We start from the raw sequence: 9,384 nt of genomic DNA, 5'->3' as shown, positions 1-9,384 counted from the left end.
CCAAAGAGCCTGGAGCCACGAGGCCCCTTGGGCTCAGGGCAACTCCAAGGCTAGTGACAGGGAGTCCATGGAGACGGGACACTCCCTGTGAGGAAGGAGTGGAGCTTGGGCCTGTCACAGCAAAGGTCGCTCACACTGAGTTAGTGATTCAGGTGCAGCCAAGGACACCACTGCCCACCCCTGCCTGCAGCCTCCCCACCCCTCCTCTCTTGGCACCTGACCGTGCCCCAGCCTGGGGGAGAGGGGCTGTTTGAAGCCTGGCCTCCTGCCCCCTGCACCCATGTCCCCAGTCCCCTCTTCTTCCACTGGGCACATCGACACTTCCTCTCCCTCAGCATCCTTGCGGGGAAAATGCCGTTGTATGGGTTCCAAGCAGTCAGTGGGGCCTCAGTGGAAAAGCAGTCTTCATGCATGAACTTCCTAGTGCCACCTTGGGGGTGACAGCTGGTCGGGGGTGAACAGACCACCGGCCCCAGCTTGGGAAGGGGCTGGAGCAGGGTTGGAGGGCTCTGAGATTTGGCAGAACCTGGAGCCTGCTGAGAAGGGGCTGCACCTGAGGGTGGGGCAGTGGGTCTGGGGGTGTCAAGGAGGGAATTTGGGGCACAGCAGAGAGCTGTGCAGGTAGGGAAGAGGCAGACTGCAACAGGAGAAACCAAGAGCGTCATGGAGGTTTGTTTCCAGATGAGAGAAACCGACAATGTTAAATGTCCACCAGGAACCACAAAGTCCCATCAGACAAGGAGGTGCTGCCAAGGCCTGGGGGGGGCCACCAGCTCTGAGCCCTTCCTGGGGACCCCTGGGGCTCTGGGCTAGCAGATGTCAGATAGAGGCTTGGGGGACTGGGGGACATGCTAGACCACCTCACTAAGGGGGCTTGGACTGACCCTGCAGAGGCGAACGCTAGTGACTCACTGACTTCTCCAGGCCCGGACTATAAATAGCCACGGGCCCGGGTAGGGGCAGGGAGTTGGGGCTTTTCTAAAAACAGTCCTGCCCAGGCCCAACAGCTGGGGCCCCTGCCAGTCACACGGCTCAGCCCGAATTAGAACACCTCCACCCCTTACCCCCCACAGTGGGCCTGTCCCCAGGTGTGGGCAGCACGGGAGCCACCGAGCTTGGGGCCATCCATCTGGGCCCTGCTGTCTCGATGTGTGACCTTGGGCAAGAACGAGGGTGCATGGGTGTGTCCACCTGTGGGTTCCACTCTTTGGGGGCCACACCTCCCAGTGGGACCATCGCACACAGTGGCCCAGGACACACAGACACCCACAGCCACCTGCATACACGCGTGCAGCCACGGAGCCTCGCCATGCAAGGCACCCCCAGAGCTCCTGTTGGTTTTGGTTCCTTTGCTGGCTGTAGCCCACTAAACTGACTTCTCATGGAGCACAGAGGAAAAAGAAAAACCAGGCTCCAGGAAGGGCAGCTCCTCCTGTCACAGGGTCCCCAGTCCCACCTCTCCAGGCAGGAGGGGCGATGGTCTCACTTGCTGCAGATGACCTTGTAGGTGACCCCACCCAATACTCCATAGTCCAGTTTTACTGGCAGTTCTGTGGAGGGTGGGGAGGGGGAGGAGTGGAGCTATTTAACTGAAAAACAATAGCATGGATGGGAATGAAAAATGGTGCAGCTGCTTTGGAAAACAGTTAGGCAGTTACTTAAAAAGTTAAACATAAACTTAGCGTGTCGCCCAGTTGTTCCTCCGCTACGAATCTACCCCAGAGCAACGAAAACTCGCAGCATCCACATGAGACTACACAGACGTCCACAGCAGCATCCACACGAGGACGACGCAGACGTCCACAGCAGCATCCACACGAGACTACGCAGACGTCCACAGCAGCATCCACACGAGGACGACGCAGACGTCCACAGCAGCATCCACACGAGACTACGCAGACGTCCACAGCAGCATCCACACGAGACTACGCAGACGTCCACAGCAGCATCCACACGAGGACGACGCAGACGTCCACAGCAGCATCCACACGAGACTACGCAGACGTCCATAGCAGCATCCACACGAGGACGACGCAGACGTCCACAGCAGCATCGAGGACGACGCAGACGTCCACAGCAGCATCCACACGAGACTACGCAGACGTCCACAGCAGCATCCACACGAGACTACGCAGACGTCCACAGCAGCATCCACACGAGGACGACGCAGACGTCCACAGCAGCATCCACAGGAGGACGACGCAGACGTCCACAGCAGCATCCACACGAGGACGACGCAGACGTCCACAGCAGCATCCACACGAGGACGACGCAGACGTCCACAGCAGCATCCACACGAGGACGACGCAGACGTCCACAGCAGCATCCACACGAGACGACGCAGACGTCCACAGCAGCATCCACACGAGGACGACGCAGACGTCCACAGCAGCATCCACACGAGACGACGCAGACGTCCACAGCAGCATCCACACGAGACGACGCAGACGTCCACAGCAGCATCCACACGAGACGACGCAGACGTCCACAGCAGCATCCACACGAGGACGACGCAGACGTCCACAGCAGCATCCACACGAGGACGACGCAGACGTCCACAGCAGCATCCACACGAGGACGACGCAGACGTGCACAGCAGCATCCACACGAGACTACGCAGACGTCCACAGCAGCATCCACACGAGACTACGCAGACGTTCACAGCAGCATCCACACGAGACTACGCAGATGTCCACAGCAGCATCCACACGAGGACGACGCAGACGTCCACAGCAGCATCCACACGAGACTACGCAGACGTCCACAGCAGCATCCACACGAGGACGACGCAGACGTCCACAGCAGCATCCACACGAGGACGACGCAGACGTCCACAGCAGCATCCACACGAGGACTACGCAAATGTCCACAGCAGCAGGATTCACAGAAGCCCCAAACTGGAAGCAACCCAGATGTCCATGGACAGAAGAGCAGACAAACAAAATGTGGTCCCTGCATGCAATGGAATGTGCTTCAGCCATGAAATGGAATGAAGTCCTGATACAGCCTGCCGTGAGGATGGCGCGTGAAAACAGCCGAAGGAAGCCAGGAGACATGCATGACATCTGGAGCGTCTGGAGTGCAGGTGAGTGGCTGCCAGGGCTGGGGAGGAGCACGGGGAAGGGGTCGGACTGATGGGTGCGAGAGGACTTCTTGGGGTGACGGAGAGATTCTCAAAATGGATCATTGCACAAACTTGATCTGCTGGAGAGCAAACACCACCGCAGCACACACATAACCAGGGAGTCTGGTGGTTTGTAAATTACGCCCCTGTAGAGCTGCACCCATCTCACCACTGTTGGATGCGGTTCACCACTGGGTCTGCCCTCTTCTAGATGTTTCTTACTGCCTCCTGAGGGCTCCAGGGACAGCCCCTGGCCTGGGGGACTGGGGGACCCTCAACAGTGAATGCTCACACGGTGCCTGGGGGCCCAGGGACCCCTCAACAGTGAGTGTTCACACGGGGCCTGGGGGCCCCTCAACAGTGAGTGTTCACACGGGGCCTGTCCAGCGCTCACCATGTTTGTGGGAGCCCACGTCCACCGCCCACTCCCGCAGCCTCTGAACACGACAGTCGCACACCGGGCTAGGTCTGCTTTTTATTGGCCACGCATCCAGCCGCCAGCCTCAGGGCACACACCTGGCAGGGGGCAGGCTCGGGTAGGCTGCCCTCGCTGGGTGGGCAGTGAGGGGGCAGCGGCTGCTGGGTGTCACCCTGCAGCCCCTCAGGTGGACCTGTATTGTCCCCAGGGCCTGCCCACGCTGGGCAGCTGGCACTGGGAGGGGTTTTCTGTTGATGTGATGGCCAAGTTTCAGCTGCAGGGCAGAGGCCTGGCAGTGGCAGCAAAGGCAGACCGCCCCCCACTCCAACTTCAGGGGCTGGACATGCTGGAACGGGGGCCAGACCCCATGGGAGGGGACCCTGGCCTGCCATGGCACTGCCTGCCAGCTTACCCCTGCCCAGGGCCCCCAACTCAGCCACCTCCAAGCAGTAAAGACTTGCAAAGCATTGCATTTTGATTAAACCTTGCTGGGCTGAAGGGCAGGCAGAGCTGTGGTGGACACTGGCAGGACGCAGCACCCCCCGACTGGCCCTTGGCAGGCTGCACCGGGCGCATGCGGGTGTGGGCCAGGGTTGCCTTTAGGAAGCAGGTGGGAGGCTGGCACGTGCAGGCGGTCCAGGAGGGCACCAGGCCTGGCAGGGCACTGGTGCCTGTCGGGTTCCCAGCCACAACACCCCAAGAAGGCTCCAGGAGGGCCCCGGCTGGGTAAGGCACGGAGTTTTGGTTTCCGGGGCCCAGTCCCAGCCTGGCCCCCAGAAGAGCCTCTCTTGGCAGAATGGCAGCATGTCCTGTGGCCTGGGCTCTCTCACTTGGCCTTGGGCCTGGGCCTGAGGCCTGTAAGAGAGAGAAAAAATGACATTATTAGGAGCAGTTTTGCTGGGTACAATATCAGGTGCCCGCTTCTGGGTGCCCAGGTCCCTGAACCCCTCATCGCCACTGTCCAGCAGGTTGTGCCATGCATCGCAGGTCCACTCTGACCCCAGGCTCTTTCTCTGGAGCAGCACAACTTATCTAGGTGGAAGGTGCCGGGCTGGCCTGGCCAGGCTGGGTTTTGGCAAGGCGTGGCAGCCTGAGCCTGTCTCCTCTCTGCTGAGATAGGGAATCTCTGTGGCCTGTCCCCCACCCCCTGTCTGAGACCCAGGCTGCACTCTGTCCTTACTCATTCATCCCCACTGCCACCCCCTGCAGCCCTCCATTGCTTCCACGTCGGGCCCTGGGCCCCACACGAGGACCCCAGCAGCGCTTTCTCCAGTGGGCTGCTGAGGGCGCTCAGCCCTGCCCCAACAGCTCCCGCCACCCAGACGGCCCCCACACATGGCCCCACAGGCCTCCTGCCCCCAACGCCCTCTTCGCTTTCTGGTCCAGGGGCCCTCGATGGCCCTTGTCTGAGTGTCACCCCCACTGCCACCACAGTGCCAGGTGGTGTCCCAGCTCCCCAGTGGGATGGCCCAAGCAGGGTTTGAGAACCACTACTCTAAACAGACAGCAAGAAAACAAAAACTATCCAAAACAATCACTCAAAGGAGGGTCTCAGCACCATTCCCCACTCAGGGAACCTGGAGAAATGGCCAAGACCAAGGCCCGTGCAGGGATGGGGGGATCAGCAAGTCTGGGGTGAGCTAGGAACAGGGGCTTGTGCCAAAGATGGGAAGCGCTCAGGGCCCCCGCTGGTCCCCATCAAATGCACGGCAGTGGCAGTGAAGGATTACTGCACGTTCAAAACTCACGTGATGGAAAAAGGGAGGGGAGGGGGGAACGCTCGGACGAGGGGCGGCGAACACAGAACCGCGCTGCAGCGGTTGGTTCCACAGGTCACCACCGGTGCTTATTAACCAGACAGCGTGGTGTTCGTGCAGTGGAGGTTCAGAAACCACCCCCGCAGCCGTGGTCAGCGCTGCTGCCACAAACGTCCCCACCCAGCTGGGGAGGACATGGCATCCCTTGGGGTAGAACTCCTGCCCCAAAACTCAACCTGGACCTACTTGGGGGCGCAATCAGGCAAACCCAAAGTGAAGTTATCTTCCAGAACGTCAATGTCATACAAGACAAAAAGGGGCAGGAATGTTCTAGAACAAAAGAGACTGAAGTGATATGATAACCAAACACAGCATGTGACTCTGGATACAATCTTGTTTGCAAAAACAACAAAGCAACAACTAGAGAAGGAATTATTGGGGCAAGTGGCACATCTGCACTGGGACCGAGTATTAGAAGCATGTGGACGTGAAGCGCCCCACAGCGGACCCTGCCCGGGGGGGACTGGGAGGACGGCAGCGCACCCTGCCCGGGGGGGCGGACTAGGAGGACGGCAGCGCGCCCTGCCCGGGGGGGGGACTGGGAGGACGGCAGCGCACCCTGCCCGGTGGGGGCGGACTGGGAGGACGGCAGCGCACCCTGCCCGGGGGGGACTGAGGAAGACGGCTGTGCTCTCAGGTGTCTGTGGGCGAGTTTAGGGCTCCAGTGCCATGATGTTTATAAGAAACTCTCAGATGCCTCAGTTGGAGGGGGGCAATGTAGCAAAATGGTCACAATTTTGGTATTTTTGGCAAATGGTTGTAATTTCGGGGAGAAGGTGTTGTTCATTCTGATCTATGCAGTTTCCTGTGGTGTTGAAGATTTTCTAAATAAAAAGGTGGGGGCTGGGCACGGTGGCTCACGCCTGTAATCCCAGCACTTTGGGAGGCCGAGGCGGGTGGATCACCTGAGGTCAGGAGTTCGAGACCAGCCTGACCAACATGGTGAAACCCTGTCTCTGCTAAAAATACAAAAAATTAGCCGCGCGTGGTGGCGTGTGCCTGTGGTCCCAGCTACTCGGGAGGCTGAGGCAGGAGAATCACTTGAACCTGGAAGGTGGAGGTTGCTGTGAGCTCAGATCGCACCACTGCACTCCAGCCTGGGCAACAGAGTGAGACTCCGTCTTGAAAAAAAATAAAAAATAAAAAGTTGGGGAGAGAAGAGGACTTCTTCCTCTTGCCCTCAGCCACGTGCGTGGCAGGAGCTGGGGCGGGTGGAGGCTAAGCACGTGTAGCAGGTTCAGGAGGGAACCAGGTGGAGCGTGGAGCTGGCACTGGACACGTCCATCTTTCACTGGACCATTGTCAGATGTGGCCGCCCGCCCCAGACCTGCATGCTCCACTGTTCCTCACACTCAGGGCCAGCAAGTCCAAGTTCCAGCCTCTAAGGGAGATGCCAGCACCTTTCTAAAAAGTACACGTGGGTGCTTCACACCAGAGAGCCACACTCGGAAGATGACCCTGGAAGCAAAAGCTGGAACCCAGGGTGAAGGCCGTGCCCCAACAGCGAGGACAAGCTGTCCGGAGAAGCTTCTCCGGGGTCACGACTGCTCTTGCCTCTGATGGGCACCAGCAGACCTCAGGTGTGCACCTTGAGCCTAAGCCCCAGGCCCAGCGGTCAGCATATTTGTGATGCACCGACACCGGGCTGGCTCTGAGCAAGGCTGGAGGTGCTGGAAGACGCCACGACCTGGGCTCACAGAGCTCATGATCGGCCGGGCTGGACCTTCTGGTTCTCTGCTCTAGCCCCTCCTCCACCCAGTGCAGGCTGGTCCTGTCTAGCTGGATGCATTGGCCTCTCCAGCCCTGTGGACGGACCTGGCTGATTGACCTTTGGCTGGTCGCCCCCCAGAAGACTCGGTGTGCGGGGGGTAATCTGCTTCTCCATAGACCCACCCATGGCCTCGGGGTGGGAGGACACTGTCCAACAGGAGGGGGGTTGCAGTGTACTTGTCCCTGGCAGCATCTGCCCTTGCGACTGTCCCGGTCTCCTCACAGACTTCCTGGGGACATGCCCCAGAAGGCCCCACGCCATTGACACACTTAGAGTGAAGATAGCCCTCCACCAACAGACAGAGCAGGAAAGCCACAGGGTTACTGGAACTGCAGTTAGCGCCAGGACACCAGACAGGAGCAACCTCAGCCTGTCCTGCCAGCCAGGAGGTCCCGCCCACGCCCCAGGGCCCGGATCCTGCTTGCTAAGGGAGTCCGGCTGGCCCTGCCACCTGCCCTCTCGAGGCCCGCATGCCCGGGGCCAGCACTGAGGTTGCGTCCTGCCTGCAGGAGGCACCAGTTGAGCAGGTAACCTGCGGAGAGGGAGGGGATGGGGCGGGAAGCCCACCACCAGGGCTGCGGGAGCGGCAAGGCCACACTGACGCACCACGCGGGCTGGAGAGAAGCCAGGTTAGTGTCCCGGAGGGGTGTGGGCAGCAAGCTCCAGCCCCACTGCCCTGCAGCTGCTGTTAGCCCCCACGGAGCGCCGGCTGCGTACATACCTTACTGGATCACACACAGTTTCTTTGTTTTATTATCATCAGAATCAGGGGGAACCTCTGCTTCCAAATAAAAGAAACGCACTCAACGGCTTATCACACAGAAGCAACCCTGACTCGGAGTGGGTGGGGCTGGGGGGCCCGGGACAGCCATGCCAACACCCTCTGAGGGCTGCCCGGTTCTCTGGCCACTAAGCCACATGGCAGCCACTTGCCTGGGACCTGGTGCCCGGTGTCCGCCCCCTACTCCCTAACGGAGGTGGCGTGAAGGTCGGAATTAGTAGGTTGGAGGAATAGTTGCACGGGCCGCGGCAGCCCACATAGCCGCCCTGCGGTGGACGCACTGCCGCCTCCTCTCCCGTGCCGCACCCAAGTCACCTCTCCTGGGTGCCGCTGGAACTTGCAGTGCCCAATGGGGAAGGGGAGGGACCGGCTGGGTGCCAGCGCCCTGGCGTGGGACGGTGCCCGGGGCCCCTCCCTGAGTTACCTTCCTGGCTCCTGGAGGGACGCTTCTTCCTTCGCTTCCCGGTCCCCTTTGAGGCCCGGCCCCGGGCCCTGGGGAGTGTGCCCGACCCCGAGGAGTCGGTCACCGCATCCTCGGAGAAGGACTTGTCCAGGGATGTGTCCAGTGCGGACTCTGGGGCCGTGTCCTCCTCGTCCTCGTCCTCATCCCCACCTGGGCCTGCTGCAGGGGGTCTGGCACCACGGCTGTGGACAGCGTCCTCCAGCCCCTCACTTGTGCTGTCGGCCTCGGCCTGGAGGACGCCCAGCAAGGACGTGGGATCCTTGGCATCTTGCCTTGAACTTCCGGCTGCAGGGGGCTGGTTGCTGGAGAACTTGAGGGGCTTCAGGGCCTGAGCATCTCCCAGAGTCACCGGCCAGGCCCCCTCCAAGGGCTGGGGGCACTGGGGATCCTCAGTGGTTAGGACATCGCTGGCATCCACATACCAGGAAGAACGCCTCTCCAGGGGCCGTGGACCACCCTCCTCCAACTGCTCCAGGGTGGGCTGAGGGCCGGGGGTCACGGCGTCTACAAGGTCCCAGCCCCGGGACTCGCTGGCTGTTGTAGCATCAAGGCCGGGCTCAGAGGCGGGACAGCGCGTGCTGCCCACGGGATCTCCTGCAGGGTTACTGGTGGCCACTGGATGGAGGGACACACCAGTGAAGGGCAGGCACCCTGCCCCCGAGCCAGCCCAGGTGCAGCCTCCTCCATTCCGCTGTCTACCTGAACGCCCTGCAAAACCTCCTCCCCAGAAAGCCTCCTCTGATGTCTCAGAGCAGGACCCGGCCTCAGCGTCCTTGGTCTGTCTACACTGTGGCAGGGTGGGGGACACTGGGCCATGCCATTCCCAGCACCCTGAGGCAGCCACCCCAGGAATGGGGTCCTCCCACCAGGGCCTTGCCGCCTGCCTTTCCTGCCACCTCTAGCACCCTCTGAGCCCAAGGGCATCGGTCAGTGGGCCTGGCCTCATCTCTCTGGAGCCCAGCGGGCTGGACTGCTGCTTCAGCACTGAGGGCAGGGCCTGCGGTTACAGT

The 9,384-nt window shown here is 60.9% G+C and overlaps 1 protein-coding gene across 7 annotated transcripts in view, besides 2 other annotated features; it reads right to left on the bottom strand.

Moving 5' to 3' along the window:
- The window catches only part of INF2 (inverted formin 2), a 41,403-nt gene continuing 32,675 nt past the window's right edge, over nucleotides 657-9,384 (bottom strand). For 3 of the 7 annotated variants that reach the window (NM_001426863.1, NM_001426864.1, NM_022489.4), the window contains exons 21-23: nucleotides 8,336-8,989; nucleotides 7,852-7,908; nucleotides 657-4,397 (exon numbers count right to left, since the gene is read on the bottom strand). In NM_001426863.1, the coding sequence (NP_001413792.1) occupies nucleotides 7,853-7,908; nucleotides 8,336-8,989 (710 nt within the window). In that variant the 3' untranslated portion in view covers nucleotides 657-4,397; nucleotide 7,852. Of the gene's footprint in view, nucleotides 4,398-5,545; nucleotides 5,630-7,851; nucleotides 7,909-8,335; nucleotides 8,990-9,384 lie in introns of all 7 variants that reach the window. The other 4 variants (NM_001426865.1, NM_001031714.4, NR_190061.1 and 1 more) reach the window with 3 other exon arrangements.
- Nucleotides 713-1,212: an enhancer, noted in NCBI's record as "ENSG00000185100_14:104259362-104259861 (NCBI36/hg18 genome assembly) insert fragment". NCBI's record gives its function as "drives selective reporter gene expression in differentiated C2C12 myotubes {active_cell/tissue: C2C12}" and the evidence as "EXISTENCE:reporter gene assay evidence [ECO:0000049][PMID:22144875]".
- Nucleotides 7,577-8,516: an enhancer, noted in NCBI's record as "H3K4me1 hESC enhancer chr14:105181013-105181952 (GRCh37/hg19 assembly coordinates)". NCBI's record gives its function as "activates a minimal SCP1, AML or CMV promoter by ChIP-STARR-seq in primed H9 embryonic stem cells {active_cell/tissue: H9 hESC(primed)}" and the evidence as "EXISTENCE:reporter gene assay evidence [ECO:0000049][PMID:30033119]".

This window comes from Homo sapiens, chromosome 14, assembly GCF_000001405.40.
Source record: "Homo sapiens chromosome 14, GRCh38.p14 Primary Assembly".
Lineage (NCBI taxonomy): Eukaryota > Metazoa > Chordata > Mammalia > Primates > Hominidae > Homo > Homo sapiens.
Note: the sequence above shows the minus strand (reverse complement) of the source record. Positions and strands in the feature narration are given on the sequence as shown.